The sequence below is a fragment of the Homo sapiens genome, chromosome 11, assembly GCF_000001405.40.
Source record: "Homo sapiens chromosome 11, GRCh38.p14 Primary Assembly".
NCBI lineage: Eukaryota > Metazoa > Chordata > Mammalia > Primates > Hominidae > Homo > Homo sapiens.
The window spans coordinates 116,623,065-116,639,365 of record NC_000011.10 but is presented as its reverse complement, the minus strand read 5'-3'; the positions used below and the strand labels follow the sequence as shown (position 1 = coordinate 116,639,365).

Here is a 16,301-nt window from a genome sequence, read left to right as displayed (position 1 = left end):
AGAGTTCTGTAATGTAAGAAGTCTCTGCCCCTCCCTCCCTGAACTGTAAAAATGAACATTTTCACTCAGGGTGATCTCCATCTCCATGCTCAGGTCGGGAAGGGAGATGGTTCCCTTCCCACTGTCCGCATGCCTCATCCTGACCCTACAAATAATTTAACCCCCTGGATGTGTGGGTGGGGAGCTCTCATAAGCTAGCCATACACTTTCTCTCTCTCTCTCTCTCTCTCTCTGTTAGTTTCCTCATCTGGAAAAAACACCACTAGGTTGTTGAAAAATTTGGAGTTCGGGGCTTGAGTTTTCCAGGCTACATACGCTATGACTGACCTCGGACAAGTCATTTCACCTCTCTGAGTCTCCTCATCTGCAACATGGGAATAAATACTATCATTCCTGTATAAGAAAATGTGTTCGGGAAATGGGAAAGTACTATACAAATGAACAATTGTTATTAATTTTATACATAGCAGAAGATATTTTCTCCTCCTTTGTATCAAGGGGATGGCAGAAGAATAAAGTGAAGTGATAGGCATGTCACTGCCTTGGAAGGGAAATTGTTCCAGTCCACAAGGGATTCTTGTATTGTGATTATTAATATAGTTCACCAAATGGTCTTGGCTGGGAGCCTGAAGGTGTAGCAGCTGCAGGGACTTGAAGCTCTCCACCGCTGTGGCTCCTGCCTGCCTGCCTTCTCAAGACAGGTTTTCCCCTTCTCTAGGCTGGCGTTCCTCTGTCTCCCAGAATCCAGCTCTGATCGTCCTTTTCCCACAAGTTCTCCTGGATGATCCCCGCTCTTCCCGCACCCTATGCCGCCCTTACTTTCTGGGTGCAGATGTCAAGGACTATTGAGTGCCATCCTGGAGGGGTTTTAATGATCACCTCATGATTCTGCTGGTGGACATACTATTTTTTTTGAGCCCCCATCATGTGCCACGTACTGAATTGGTGTGAAAGAGATGAATAAGACATATGAAGCTCTTGATCTTGTGGAGATGACAGTGGGGAGGAGACAGAGATAACACACAAGGGAACAAGTGAGTACAAATGCAGAGATAATTAAGACCGTGGTAAGTCCCATAAAGAAAATAAAAGAGAGACGATGTGCTCCAGAGTGCTTGGGTGGTGGGGAGTGGTGGTAACAGAGGGTGGTTATCTCTTCTTGGAGGAGCTGACGTGAGCTGAGATGTGAAAGATGGAAAGGAGCAGCCATGGGGAAATGGAAGGAGATGCATTCCAGGTAGAGGGAATGAGGTTGGCTTGTCCAGGCTTCTTAATTAACCGATGAAGACAGAGCAGGGAAGTGTCTTGCACGAGGCTGCACAGCTAGTCATCAGCAGCAGAGCAGGACTAAAATCCTGTTCTCTGGGCATCCAGGCCCGTGGTATGCTAATGCAACCCTTATTTCTTCTTTGCAAGCAGGGCCTCTATGGAGCTCCTCACCTGTCAGTCAGCTTTCCACACCCTAGCCAGGGTCCTCCCTGTGCCCCACCCTCTGTCCAGGGTAGCTTCAAGCTTGCTCTTCCCCTGCTCTCCAGAGGTAAATGGGACAACACAGGAGCAGAGAGAAAGCAGAGTGGTTGAGTGGTTTCCGCCATTCACTGCTAAGCACAATAAACCCAGTGGAATCCCAGCCTTAAAATGGCCTTGTTTAATTAATGCTAAATGACTGTGGGACCCGTATGGATTTATACATTAGATCCACATTAACACCAAATCGTTTGATCACGAATAACTGTTAAAATAATGAACACAGGCGCTTTACAACTAGATTAGAAAGATGGGACTCAGCCTCCTGCCCAGCCTGGGGGGTCAAAGCACCCTTCCCAGGATTCTGCCTCCTTTTCCTCCCTCTTGTTTGATAAGCTGTGATTTCCAAAGGGCATTTATTGAGCTGTCCCCATGCCCAGCGCTGTGTGATGGGGGTGGGATGGGGCACAAAACTTCCCCTCTGGAGCTTGCAGTGTCGGTGAGGAGGTGAGCTGTACACTTGAAAATGAAGCATATTACTAGAGAAGTGTGTTCTGGGAATTTACAAATATCTCATTTAATCCCCTCCATATTGGGAGGTAGGTACTATAATCAGGTCTCAATTGGCAGATGAAAGACCTATGTTTGTTACAGATGAGGGCCTTGCCCCAGGCCACCCACTTAGAGGAGGCATAACTGGAAACAAAATCTTCACTTAGCCTCCCCACCCCTTGTTAATTCCACCTGCATAGCCTTGCTTCCTAAGACAATGGACTAGAGAGCGTGGTCCTCGCCCTTGGGTAGACCTCTGGCTTTTTTGCCTGGGGCAGGTGGGGAGGGCGGGTGGAGGAGGAGGGCTTTGAAGGGTGCCTGTAGGCATGTGGTAGGAGTAGAGGGTGGTGGATGGAAAGAGGAAAGGGGGTTTCTTTCATCCCCCTCCCTCACGCAGCCCCCTCTGTCCCTCTTAATGTCTGTGCTCAAACTTTGTCCCCACAGAGTATCCAAGTCCTTCTGAGTGGCTTCTCTGACACTCTTTCCTGAGAATCAGGTTATTCAGTTTGGCTCGTGGGAGAAGGATGCGCCCCAGCACCAGTGAGCGTGGTGCGTGCGCAGTCTCATGCCCACACTGCCAGCCCTGCTGTTTACTCCATCACGCATGCATCCCGGGCTTCAGCAGGAGCAGGCAGCAGTGGGTGAAGGATGGCGAGCCTCGCAGGAAGGAGGCAGGATCAACCCCTTGCTGGGCATTTCCGCAGAGGGAGGAGTGGAGCCCAGCTGCCCCGCTCATTTCTCTGGCTTCTCCAGTCTCTAGAAACCTCACTTCCTACTGTTTCACCTGCCATGATTTTCCCCACAGGGGTCCTACCTGGACAAAGATGTTAGGAATGTCCCTGGGAAGGTTTGACAGCGGTCCATAGGGAGCTGTTGGAGCCAACTGGAAATGCTGCCCGGTTGGGGAAGGCAGAGCAAAGATTGCCACCCCTGTCCCGAAGTTTTGGAAATGAGGTTATGGTTTGGAGGACACACAGGCCCGGTCCTGGGGTTTTGAGCTCCAGGAGATGCTTGATAATCTGTCAAGTTTATTCCTGCCTCTATCCTTTGGCACAAGCTTTTCCATTTTTTTGCAGCTTGGTTAGGCTGTTATTTATCCCTTAAGGCCCACATCAGTCACCTCCTCCAAGAAGCCTCCATACTTCACTCTAAAGAATCAATCCCTTTTCTGCGTCTTTCTGGCACTTTGTCCTAGCAGAGCACAAATCTTGTGTTGCCTTCATACACACCTGCCTTCATACACACCTGCTTTCATGCACACCCACCTTCATGCACACCTGCCTTCATGCACACCCACCTTCATATACACCTGCCTTCATACACACCCACCTTCATGCACACCTGCCTTCATGCACACCCGCATTCATACACACCCACATTCATACACACCTGCCTTCATACACACCTGTATTCATGCACACCTGCCTTCGTGCACACCTGCCTTCATGCACACCTGCCTTCTCCACCTGCCTTTTGGGTGGCTGTGTGTTGCTGCTCACCCAGATGGAGAGGAAGGACATCTCTTCTGGAGTCTCTCTGACCAGAGATCCCTGCCTGTGCCAGTTCTGGCAAAGCCCAGACATTACCATTTGGGTGAAAAGGTGCTGGGAAAGAAAGAAGAAAAACTAGGGACTAGGAAGATTTTTCCATTCAGTAACTCATGAACTGTTAGGTACGTGTGTGTGTGTGTGTGTGTGTGTGTGTGTGTGTGTGTGTGTGTGTCTTGGACTCAGAAAGCCCTGGGGGCCTCCAAGGGGCATTGGGTTGGCATTTCCATGGGTTCACAGTCTGGGCTTTGTCCTCTTGGCTGGGCTGACCTGCCTGGCCACCTGCCAAATCCAGCTGCCTCCAGCAGGTGCCAGAGGAGCTGAGAGGACCAGGCCAGTTGGCAGGCGAGAGGTGACCCTGTTTAACCAACCACAGCTTGAACAAATGGGTACAATATTTTTGGTTCTTTTTCCCTCAGCCGGGGCATAAATCAGTTCTCTGGAGTGGGATCGGATCAATGTTTTGTAATTGGATTCCAAAAATGGAGATGAGCCCCGGGGAGCCTGAGGACTGACCACCTTCATAGGGGCTTGGCCCTGGTGGACCTGAGAGTGACGTGACCACCACAGGTGACCATGCTGCCTCCAGCACAGTGCGGCTTGTTTCAGTCTGCCTCTGCTTAGCTTAATTTAGAACCTAGGCTGAACATTTTAGAATTGATTCCCTAGGAAACAGGACCATTGTAGGATAAGACTAGATTATGGAGGGTCTGGGTACACAGTTTAGATTTACTTAAGGCAAATACCTGACATGCGTATCACGATTGTCCTCTTTGCTGCTATAGGCTGCATGTTTATGTCCCCTCACTCTTCCTATGTTGAAATCCAGACCTTCAAGGTGATGGTAGTAGAGGGTGGGGACTTGGGGAGGCAATTAGGTCATGAGGGTGGAGCCCTTATGAATGGGATTAGTGCCCTTAGAAAAGAGGCCCTAGAGAACTTCCTTGCCCCTTCCACCATGTGAAGTCACAGCAAGAAAGCACTGTCTGTGAACCGGGAAGTGAGCCCTCACCTGACACCAAATCTACATGTGCTATGATCTAGGACTTCCCAGCCTCTGGAACTGTGGGAAATAACCATTGTTTAAGTCATCTAGTAGTCTGTGTTAGTTTGTTATAGCAGTTACATGGTTTGTTTTGAGACAGGGTCTCTGTTGCCCAGGCTGGAGTGCAGTGGTGCAGTCTCAGCTCACTGCACCCTCCACCTCCTGGGTTCAAGCAATTCTTCTGCCTCAACTTCCTGAGTAGCTGGGAGTATAGGTGTGTGCCACCACATCCGGCTAACTTTTGTATTTTTAGTAGAGACAGGGTTTCACCATGTTGGCCAGGCTGGTCTTGAACTCCTGACCTCAAGTGATCCACCTGCCTCAGCTTCCCAAAGTGCTGGAATTACAGGTGTGAGCCACCGTACATGGTCGATACCTTTGTACAGTGAATCTGTACTTGTCCTCAGAGGCCTATTTCAACCCAGGGTTTGAGATAGCTGTTATAACTGCCTGGAGTTGGCACTTGAAGGAAACCTCTGGGTCCAGGTTTCTCACCATCCTTATAGAGAAACTGAGGTGAAGAGAGATGTGTGTCCACCCCAGGGCTATCCTTAATTTAATAGGCAGATGGGACACTAGTAAATCCTTGGGCAGGGGAGGGCCATGACAGAAGCAAGGAGAATAATTTGGCAACATGGAGCCACGTGTGCTGGAGGGAAAAGTGGGAAGCTGAGGGCAGGCTGGGACTAGGCTGAGGCAGGGAAAATTTAAAGAAGCATCACTGTCAGGGACTGATCCTGAATTTACAAGATCCTGAGGGTGATGATTCCTTACATTTTGCCCCCTAGGTGCCGTACTTTCCTCACCCTAGTCCTGGCCCTGGCTGAAAGACCAATTAGACGCTAACTTTTGCTGAATTCAGGCATCAAATGGAGCAGTGACAGCAGAAACACAGGAAACTGGTCAGCGCTGACGGGTTGTGCAGGAAGAGTCATCAGGACTTGGTGACATACTGGCCATCAAGGATAAGGGCAAGGGACAGCTTTGAGCCATGAGGTGACCATGAGGATGGTGACACCCTGACAGGAACAAGGTTAGGGCTTATCACTTGGGTTATGATTTTGGCTTTTGGTTGAGAGTGCAATGTTGGCCTATTCTTACTTTTTCATTAAATATTTTTTATTGGAGTCTAACATATATATAGAAAAGTGTACAGATTGTACAATTGCACATTTCTGATTTCCAGAAGGTAAACTGAGTCACATAACTTCTATCCAGATGCAAAAACAGAACATCACTAGAATCTCCTATTATGTCCCTTCTAGTCACTACCCCACCTCCCAAGGGTAACTGCTGTCCTGCCTTTTAACATCATAAATTAGTTCTGCACTTTGTATAAATAGAATCTTATAGTATATAAGGCCAGGCACAATGGCTCATGCTTGTAATCCCAGCACTTTGGGAGGCTGAGGCAGGAGGATGGCTCAAACCCAGGAGTTTGAGACCAACCTGAGCAACATGATGAAATTTGTCTCTACAAAATAATGATAATAAAAAAAATAGCTGGACATGTTGGGGCATCCCTGTAGTCCCAGCTACTTGGGAGGCTGAGGTGGGAGGATTGCTTGAGCCTGGGGAGGTAGAGGCTGCAGTGAGCCGAGATTGAGCCACTGCATTCCAGCTGGGTAACAGAGTGAGACCCTGCCTCAAAAAAAAAAAAAAAAAGAAGAAGAAAGAATCTGACAGTATATATTCTTTTGCATCTGGTAAATTTCACTCAGAGATTCATTCATATTCTTGTAATTGTAGATTGTTCATTGTCTTTGCTGTATAACATTCTATTGTGTGAAAAACTACCATGTAGCTACTCATTCAACCATTGATAGGCCTTTGAGTATTTTCCAGTTTGGGGCTATTATGAATAGTGGTGCTCTGTAAGTTATTGTCCTTTTGGGTTTTTTTTTTTTTTTTTTTTTGAGACAGGGTCTTGCTTTGTCACTCAAGTTGGAGTGCAGTGGCGTGATCTCGGCTCATTGCAACCTCCACCTCCCAGGTTCAAGCAATCCTCCCACCTCAGCCCCCTGAGTAGCTGTGACCATAGGCACTCCCCACCACGCCCGGATAATTTTTGTGTTTTTAGTAGAGATGGGGTTTCCTCATGTTGCCCAGGCTAGTCTTGAACTCTTAGGTCAAGCAATCCACCAGCCTTGGCATCCCAAAATGCTGGGATTACCGGTGTGAGCCACCGTACCTGTCCTGTCCTTATCTTTTGTAACAACATGTCTGCATTTCTGTTGAATATATATATAGGAATGGAATTGCTGGGTCCTGGGAATGTGTGTGCCCAGCTTTAGCATGTGCTGTGCTGGCTGACTCCTGAGTGTCATGAGGTATATTAGAGCCGGACATCCAAGAAGGAGAGGCCAAGCTGGGCTTAGAGGCACAAGAGCTTCACTGAGGGAAGGATATCTAAAAAGGACAAAGGGAACGGGGCAGGAGAAAGCAGGGATAGCCTCAGACCTCAACACTGGTCTGACCCTGAGAAAGGACAAAGGAAGAAAGGAGAATGGGATAGGAAGAATCTCAGGCCCAGTGCAGGTCTCAGAAGGTGTTGGCCAGGCTGATGGGGAGTGTCAAGACAAAGTTGCCACTAGAAGAGGCCTGAACTAGTACCAGCCGTGCTTAGTCCTTGGCTGAGAGCAGCCTGACGGAAGCGTGGCCTTGGCACTAACGTGGTGGTGGATCTAGAAGAATGATAACCACGCTCCCTGCAGCAGGAAATCTCAGCTGTGCACGTGCATGACTGCCATGTGAGAACTGTGAACTCTGTGGGAGATTGACAGAGTACAATGAAGTGTGAGGGTCTGGGATTTTGAATCAACCAGGCTGGGGTCAAGTCTCAGATCAATCATTTGTTAGCTGTGTGATCTCCACTGGTTGCCTAACTCTTCTGAGCCTCAGTCTCCAAGTCAGTATAATGGAATTAATAATGACTACCTCATATGATTGTAAGAATCAAATGAAATAGTACAACTAAAGCACTCAATGTATAATAATAAACAGTAGGACTTCATTATTCATTCAGCACATTTATTGAGCACCTTATTTCATTGAGTTCTTTGCTCAAATGTCACTTTTATAAGGAACAGTTCTAGGCTTGGAGGATGCTGCAGTGAGCAAAACTGAGTGTACATTCTAGTAGAGGAAGATAGACAATAAACAGACAAGCAAAATCTAAAATGTTCCGGAGAATTATAACTGTGACGGAGAAAAACCAGGAAAAGAGGGAAGGTTCTATCCTATGTTACTAGAGTGATTAATGAAGACTCCTTAAAAAGGTGACATCTGAGCAGAGAACTCAATGAAATAAGAGACCAAGCCATTCAGATGAATGGAGTATGCATTCCAGGCAGAGGAAACTGCAAGTGCTGAAGCCCTGGGGTCAAAGTATGCTTGCCCTGTTAGAGGAACAGCGCAGAAGCTGGTGGGCTGCAGCAGAGAGAGGGAAGCAGAGGGTGGCTGGAGATGAGGTTGGAGCTGTAGTGGGACCAGGAATTGCAGACTCTTGTGGGTTAGAGTATAGACATTGGATTTACACTGAGCAAGAGGAGAAGTCAGTGTAGCTTATGTAGGGTTTCCATTTCTATACATTGTTCTAACACATGTGTTATCTGACTTAATTTTTCATGCTAATGTTATGGGCATAAAGTAGGATTTCCTTGTTTTAATTTGGATTTCTCTTATGAAGTGAGGCCAAATAGCTCCTTATAAAAGTTTTATTCATTTGGGTTTCTGCTTCCACGGATTGCCTATTCATCTCTTTTGCCTACTTTTCTGTAGGATTTCCCGTCTTGTTGATTTGTGTTTCTTGCATGTTATATATTGTAATCCTTAATGATTTTAGACTTTGAAATATTTTCTATCAGTTGTCACTTGTTTGTTAATTGTGTCCATAGTATCTGTAGTAGGTTAAATAGTGTCTCCCAAGAATTCATGTCCACCTGGAACCTCAGAATGTGACCTAATTTGTAAATAGGGTCCTTGCAAATGTAACTAATTAAGGATCTCAAGATGATGTCCTCCTAGATGTAGGGTGGACCCTAAATCCCATGACTGGTGTCCATATAAGAGGAGGAGAAAACGCAGAGAGACAAACAAGAAGGACATGTGAAGACGGTGGCAGAGATTGAAGTTATGATGCCATAAGCCAGGGAATGCCTTGGGCCCTCAGAAGCTGAAAGAGGCAAGGAAGGATTCCTTCTTGGATGCTTCAGGGGGAGCATGGACCTGCTGACACTTCGATTTCAGTCTTCTAGCCTCCAGAATTGTGAGAGGATACATTTCTGTTGTTCTAAGCCACCCAGTTTGTGGTACTTTGATATGGCAGCCCTAGAAAATGAATACAGGCTTTGTTACTGGGAAGTGGGTGCTGCTGTAATACATACTTTTGAATTTCATGGTAGAAAAAGCCTGGTAGCATTGAAGAAGAGATTGTTGCTAGAAATATGGATGTTAAAAGCAATTCTAGTGAGGGCTCAGATGGAAGTGATGAGAATGGTTGAGAAAGCTTCTATAATCTTAGAGAATATATATAATCATATATATAGAAAGAATGTTGCTAGAAATAGGAACATTAAAGGTACTTCTGGTGAGACCGTAGAAAGAAATGAGGAACATATTACTGGAAACTGAGCAAAGGTGATTCTTATAAGGCGTCAGAGAACTTGGCTGCTGTTGGGCAAAAAGCAGAATTCAAGTTGGATGTTTAGCTGAGGAGATTTCTAAGCAAAATATGGAGGGTGCAGCCTAGTTTCTCCTTATTGCTTACAGTGAAGTGCAAGAGGAAAGAGATAAATTGAGGAAGGAATTGTTAAGCACAAAGGAACCAGTACTTTATGATTTGGGAGGTTCTTGGTTTCTCTGTTGAGAAAGCACACTGTGGAGAGAGCTCCAAAGCTGTGGCTGGACAACATTTTGCAAAGAGATTAGGTGTGTGACTCATGATTCCAATCAGCCATCACAGTAGAAGCCAGGAATAGAGGTGGGGTTAATCAGGAAGTATCTATGGAGAATGCTTCGGTCTAATGACGTGTATCCCCTTGGCATACACAGGAGACCCACAAAATTTTTGAGAATATTATACCAATAGGAACATGGCCAGCCTGGACTGACAGAGACTATGAAATGAAGAAAAGCTATCAGACTTCTGGGATTCTATAGACAGGAAACTAGTTGATAGAGCTGCTCAGCTGTAAACATATGCTGCTGTTAAAGGAAAAGGTGAATGACTGAGGACAGACTCACAGATGTGGAGTTAGAGGCCAGAGAGGCAGGCACAGAGGCAGGAGCTGTCACTGCAGGCCCAGATAACAACATAGAGGATTATCCTCAGACCTTGAACCTATTGACATTTTTGCTGCTGGGTTTTGGACTTGGCTGGGAATGGTGACCCCTTTATTTCTTTCAATTCCTCCCTTTTGGGATGGGAATATCCATGCCATGCCTGGATTTTATTTTGGAAGCAGATAACTTATTTTCTAGTTTCACAGGTCCACAGATGGAAGGGAATTTTTCCCCCGGGATGGATCATATTCAGAGTCTCACCCATACCTGATTTAGATAATTTGGTTTATGAGATTTGAGACTCATTCAGTTGATAATATTTAAATGCCATTTTAGACTTGGAATTGTTGCTTGATTGGGTTAAGAATTTTGTGAATGTTGGGATGAGGTGAATGTGTTTTGCACATGGAAAGGATGTAAACTTTGAGGGGCCAGAGGGCTGATTGTAGTGGGTTGAGTGCTGTCTCCCAGTAACTTATGTTCACTTGGAACCACAGAATATGGCCTTATTTGGAAATATGGTTTGCAGATGTGATTAGTAAAGGATCCTAATATAGTTTGGATGTTTGTCCCCTCCAAGTCTCATGTCGAAATTTGATCCCTAATTTTGGAGGTAGGGCCTGATGGGAGGTGTTTTGGTCGTGGGGGAAGATCCCTCGCAAATGGCTTAGTGCCCTTCCTGAGGTAATGAGTGAGTTCTTGCTCTTAGTTCATGTGAAAGCTGGTTGTTTAAAAGAGCCTGGCATCTTCTTGCTCCTGCTCTGGCCATGTGGCACACCTGCTCCCCCTTCACCTTCTGCCATGACTGTAAGCTCCCTGAGGCCTCACTAGAAGCTGAGCAGATGCTGGTGCCATGCTTATACAGCCTGCAGAATGATGAGCCAGATAAACCCCTTTTCCTTATAAATTACCCACTCTTGGTATTGCTTAATAGCAATGCAAAACAGATCAAACCATATCCATAACATGGTGATATGGTTTGGCTGTGTCCCCACCCAAATCTCATCTTGAATTGTAGCTCCCATAATTCCCACATGTTATGGGAGGGACCCAGTGGGAGATAATTGAATCATGGGGGCAGTTTCCCCCATACTGTTCTTGTGGCAGTGAATAAGTCTTTACAAGATCTGATGGTTTTATAACGGGAAACCCCTTTCACTTGGTTCTCATTTCTCTCTTGCCTGCCACCATGTAAGACATGCCTTTTGGCTTCTGCCGTGATTGTGAGGCCTCCCCAACCATGTGGAACAATGAGTCCATTAAACCTCTTTTTCTTTATAAATTACCCAGTCTCGGGCATATCTTTATCAGCAGCACGAAAACAGAATAATATACATGGATCCCAAGATGAAATCAGGTGGACCCTAAATCAAATCCTGGTATCCTTATAGGAAGAGAAGAGGACAGAAAGAGAACACAAAGAAAAGAAGGCCGTGTAAAGATGAAGGCAGAAATTGAAGTTATGCTGCCTGTTAGGGGTTGAATATCCCTCCATAGGTATTTTGAAGTCCTAACCCCTGGTACCTTTGAATGTGACTTTACTTGGGAATGTAGATGGTCTTTGTAGATGTAATCAAGTTAAAATGTTGTCTTTAAGGTGGGCCCTAATCCAATATGACTGATGTCCTTAAAGAAGGGCAGAGGCACAGGGAGAAGAGAGCCATGCAGTGATGGAGGCAGAGACAGGAGCAATGAACCTAGAAACCAAGCAAAGCCAAGGGTCAGGAGCAGACACCAGAGGCTGGAAGAGGTGAGGAAGGGTTCCTCCTTAGAGGTTTCTGAGACAGCCTGGTGGTCGGCGGCAAACACCAGAGGCTGGAAGAGGTGAGGAAGGTGAGGAAGGGTTCCTCCTTAGAGGTTTCTGAGACAGCCTGGTGGTTGGCGACAAACACCGGAGGCTAGAAGAGGTGAGGAAGGGTTCCTCCTTACAGGTTTCTGAGACAACGTGGCCTTGCTGGCACCTGGATTTCAGACTTCTAGCCTCCGGAACTGTGAGACCATAAGTTTCTGCTCTTTTAAGCCACCAGTTTGTGGTACTTTGTTACAAAAGCCCTAGAAAACGAATACAGCATCCTTTCAATTAATAGGAATCTTTAGTTTTGATATAGTCAAATTAGTCAATTTTTGTCTGTGGTTTTGGCTATTTTTGTTTTGTTTGTGAAGTCTGTCCCTGCCCAAGAGCATGAGGAGAGCTTTATTCATTTTCATTCAATTAGGTCTAACATTTTACCTTTCAGTTTTAGGTCTTTAATCTATCTGGAATTCACTTTTGTATATGGTATGAGGTGGAGATTTAATACTTTTTTTGGTGAACTCTCAACAAAATAAATTATCCTTCCTCCACTAATTTGTGACATCTTAATCATATGTCAAATTCCTACATATACACAGGTCTGTTTATATATTTTAAGTTCTGTTCCATTGGATTTATATGTCTGTTCTTGAGTTAATACCAAACTTTATAAAATCATATAGTTCTGCAGTATGTTTTAATATCTGATATAGCAAATCATCATAGTTTGTTCTTTTTAAAAAATTGCTTTAGCTATTTGTGAACTTTGAAACTTCATTTTTCCATATATTAATTTTAGAATCAATTTATCAACTTTCTAAAAAATGTCTGCTAGAATTTTGATGAACTTTCACTGAACTTAGAGATAAGTAAAATTTCGTTGAATTATGTGCAAATTTACAATTGGCTTGACCAAATTTAGTATCTAAATCTATACCTACCTGTCTGTCTAGATTGATAGTCTTGTCAAAATTGTATATCTATATTTCTATCTCATAAGTGGGTTATGTTTATCCTTCAAGAGGAGTATAATGACAATGTCTGATTGGCTCTCCTTTAATGATTTTAGTAGCCATTGATGATCAATGTCTAGATTAATTAATTATTAGGAGTTGCAAAAGGTGATTTTAATTTAATGTGCTTTGATTATTGATTTTATTGATTTCTACCCCTTCTTCTTTTCTGTGATCTTTTTTCCAAATTCCTAAGTCAAATACTTAGCTCCCTTCCCCCATCTTTGTTGCCTTTTATATGTATGTATATGTGTATATATATATATATATATATATATATATATATATATATATATATATATATATAACTATAGTTAAAGCCATTAATTTTCCTTAAGTCTTGCTTTAGCTGTATCCCACGTATTTTGACGTGGTGTTTTTACTGTCATTCAGTACTAAGTATTTTGTAATTTTCCCTATTAATTCCTCTTTAACGCAAGTGTTATTAAGTAGCTTGGTTTTTCAGTTTTTCTACCTCTGGTATTAATAAAAACCTGTCTTTTTGTTATTGATTCCCATTTTTATTACAGCGTTCAGAAATGGTTGAATAATCATCCTTTGTAACCTAGTTCATGGAGGATTTTTTTGAATGTTTCAGGTGAGTTAAAAAATAACATACTCCTCATGTCTTAAGTCTAGTCCTTTATTATATTTCAGTTTAAGGTTATTAGTAGTATTGCTTAAATCTTCTATTTTAGCTCATTTTTGTCTCCTTGATCTATTAGTCTCTGAGAGGGGTATGCTAAATTCCATAACTATGGTTTTTTATGTATCTCTTTCCCCCCATAATACTGTCAGTGGTTGCTTTATAGTCTTTGAGGCCATATTATTAAACACGTAAATATTCATGATCCTTATATCTGCCTGATCTATAGTTCTTTTACAGTTTATGACATCCTTCTTTGTCCCTTGTAGTTTTCTTCTTGGCCTGGAATTCTACTTGGCCTGATAACAAAATTGTAGTTTGATTTTTGCAAGGAATATCTTTTTCTTTTTGTACTAGTAAAGTTTGGATTCAATTTCAGTCAAAGAAAACCCAAATACCAATTTCCCAAATATGGTGGAAATTATTTCGTAGAAGTCCAGAAGAAACCTAGCATTCATGCAGCTTTAACATGACTGATAAAAGTTTATTTCTTAATGAAATACAGGCAGGCAAGAGCTGTTATGGTGGCCCCATAAAGTCCTTAGGGATCCGGGGTCCTTCCACCTTATCCTTCCACAGTCTCAAGGTTATGTCTCTTGTCCTCATGATTTAGGGAGAAGGAGGGAAGAAGGGGATGTAGAAGAGCATGCCCCCTTTAAGAACAGTATCTGGAAGTTTAATAAAGTCATTACTGGCTGGGCACGGTGGCTCACGCCTGTAATCCCAGCACTTTGGTAGGCCGAGGCAAGTGGAACACCTGAGGTCAGGAGTTCGAGACCAGCCTGGCCAACATGGTGAAACCCCATCTCTACTAAAAATACAAAAATTAGCCAGGCGTGGTGGCAGGTGCCTGTAATCCCAGCTACTTGGGAGGCTGAGGCAGGAGAATTGCTTGAACCTGGGAGGTGGAGGTTGCAGTGAGCCGAGATCGCGCCATTGCACTCCAGCCTGGGGGACAAGAGCGAGACTTCATCTAAAAAAAAATAAAAATAAAAAGTAGAGTAATTATCACTTCCATTGCTTAGAACTTAGTCATAGGCCACTCCTAGCTGCAAAGAAGGATGGGAAATGTAATGTTTAATCCAGGAAGCCATGTGCCCAGCTAAAAATTATGTTCTATGGGAGAAGGGAAGAATGAGTATGTTAATAATTGACAATTATCCATCTCTGCCATATCATCCCTTTATTTTTCAACTTTCCTGTAGATTTGTTTTTTTATTGAAATTTTTATTAATGTAACTGTAGATTCACATACATTGTAAGAAATAATATGGGGAGATCCCATGTACACTTGAACCAGTTTCCCCAGTAGCAACATTTTTACAAAACTCTAATATAATGTCAAAATCAAAATATTGACATTGAGAGAACACATCAATCTTATTCCTTACCCAGATTTCCTCATAGTAATCTCTATGTGTGCGCATTTAGGTTTTTTTTTTTTTTTTTTTAAGACAGAGTCTCGCTCTTTTGCCCAGGCTGGAGTGCAGTGTTGCAATTTCGGATCACTGCAAGCTCTGCCTCCTGGGTTCAAGGGATTCTCATGCCTCAGCCTCCCAAGTAGCTGAGATTACAAGCGCTCACCACCATTTTCGTATTTTTAGTAGAGACGGGTTTCACCATGTTGGTCTCAAACTCCTGACCTCAAGTGATCTGCCCACCTTGGCCTCCCAACACATTTAGTTCTTTATGATTTTGTCACATGTATAAGTTTGTGTATCCCACAACAGTCAAGACTTTGAATATTTCCATTACCACAAGGATCCTGTTCCACTCCTGTGGCCACACTCCTCACTTTCTTTTTCCTTTTCTTTCTTTTTTTTTTTTTTGAGACAGAGTCTTGCTCTGTCGCCAGGCTGGAGTGCAATGGCGCAATCTCGACTCACTGCAACCTCCACCTACCGAGTTCAAGAGATTCTCCTGCCTCAGCCTCCTGAGTAGCTGGGACTACAGGTGTATGCCACCACGCCTGGCTAATTTCTGTATTTTTATCAGGGACAGGGTTTCACCATGTTGGCCAGGCTGGTCTCAAACTCCTGACCTCAAGTGATCCACCTGTCTCGGCCTCCCAAAGTGCTGGGATTACAGGCGTGAGCCACCATGCCTAGCCTCGAGTTAATTTTTTATGGTCAAGTTTCAGTTTTTGGCTTGTAGATGTCCAATTGCTCCAGTATCATTTGTTGAGATGACTATTCCTCCTCCATAGAATTGTTTTTCACCTTTGTCAAAAATCAGTTGAGCATATTTGTGTATGTCTATTTCTGGGATCTCTCATTGATCTATGTCTTTATTCTTATGCCAATACTACATTGTCTTGATTACTATGGCTATACTTGTATACAAAGCCTTAATATCAGGTAGTGATTTCTCCTACTTTATTCTTCTTTGTCATAATTGTTTTAGCTATTGAAGGGCCTGTACCTTTCTGTATAATTTTTATAATAGACTTGTCTATTGTGATGGTTAATTTCTACGTCTCAAATTGACTGGGCCATGGGGTGCCCACATATTTGGTTAAAAAAAATTCTGGGTATGTCTGTGAGGGTTTTTCTGGATGAAATTGACTTTTGAGTCAGTAGGCTGATTGTCTTCACCAGTATGGGCGGACATCATCTGACCCACTGAGGGCCTGAATAGAACAAAAAAGCTTAGTGAGGGAGAATTTGCTCTCTCTGGCCAACTGTCTTCAAGCTGGGACATCAGTCTTCTCCTGCCTTCAGATTCAGACTCGGATTCAGACTGGAACTTACATTATCAGCTTTCCCGATTCTCAGGCCTTCAGATTCAAACTGGAATTTATAGCACTGGCTCTCATTCTCAGGCCTTTGGACTAGGACTGGAACAATAGTGTTGGCGTTCCTGGGTCTTTAGCTTGCTGACTGCAGATCTTGGTACTTCTCAACCTCCATAATCATATCAGCCAATTCTTTATAATAAATATTTGGTTTATTATAAC

At 43.8% G+C, this 16,301-nt stretch overlaps 1 long non-coding RNA gene across 1 annotated transcript, besides 1 other annotated feature; it reads left to right on the top strand.

The window, feature by feature from the left end:
- The first annotated feature begins 51 nt into the window (after window positions 1–51).
- Window positions 52–13,345, top strand: LOC107984372 (uncharacterized). Its single transcript, XR_001748078.1, has 4 exons — window positions 52–1,034; window positions 3,986–4,136; window positions 5,400–5,644; window positions 13,230–13,345. It is a non-coding gene; the product is annotated as an uncharacterized LOC107984372 (long non-coding RNA).
- Window positions 2,549–3,049: an enhancer, noted in NCBI's record as "H3K4me1 hESC enhancer chr11:116507034-116507534 (GRCh37/hg19 assembly coordinates)". NCBI's record gives its function as "activates a minimal SCP1, AML or CMV promoter by ChIP-STARR-seq in primed H9 embryonic stem cells {active_cell/tissue: H9 hESC(primed)}" and the evidence as "EXISTENCE:reporter gene assay evidence [ECO:0000049][PMID:30033119]".
- Window positions 13,346–16,301: the final 2,956 nt, after the last annotated feature.